Below are 226 nucleotides of genomic sequence, written 5' to 3'. Positions count from 1 at the left end.
TGGGGAGTCCCGGGGCTCACAGGCACGCGCATCCTGCCGGGCAGGTGCTGCCCTGTGGTCCAGCATCCCCCACTCCCCACCCTCGTGTTCAGTTCTAAACAGAGACACAGCCTCGGAAGGGGGGCGGGTGGCTGCCGCCTGGGCTCAGGGCCTTCTCTGGGAGGGATCTGCGCGGATTGCGGGGGGTGCTCTTCACTGGGGTCTCCGCCCTCTTCATTTTAGAGCC

The 226-nt window shown here is 66.8% G+C and overlaps 1 annotated feature.

Annotated features, from left to right (window-relative positions):
- Positions 1-226: part of a meiotic recombination region, noted in NCBI's record as "meiotic double-strand break mapped by DNA meiotic recombinase 1 chromatin immunoprecipitation followed by single-stranded DNA enrichment and sequencing in the germ cells of some male individuals with the PRDM9 A/A, PRDM9 A/B and PRDM9 A/C genotypes", that runs on past both edges of the window. NCBI's record gives the evidence for it as "EXISTENCE:chromatin immunoprecipitation-seq evidence [ECO:0000229][PMID:25395542]".

This window comes from Homo sapiens, chromosome 2 (assembly GCF_000001405.40).
Source record: "Homo sapiens chromosome 2, GRCh38.p14 Primary Assembly".
Lineage (NCBI taxonomy): Eukaryota > Metazoa > Chordata > Mammalia > Primates > Hominidae > Homo > Homo sapiens.
The sequence above is the reverse complement of the archived record's forward strand: the minus strand, read 5'-3'. Positions and strand labels throughout refer to the sequence as shown.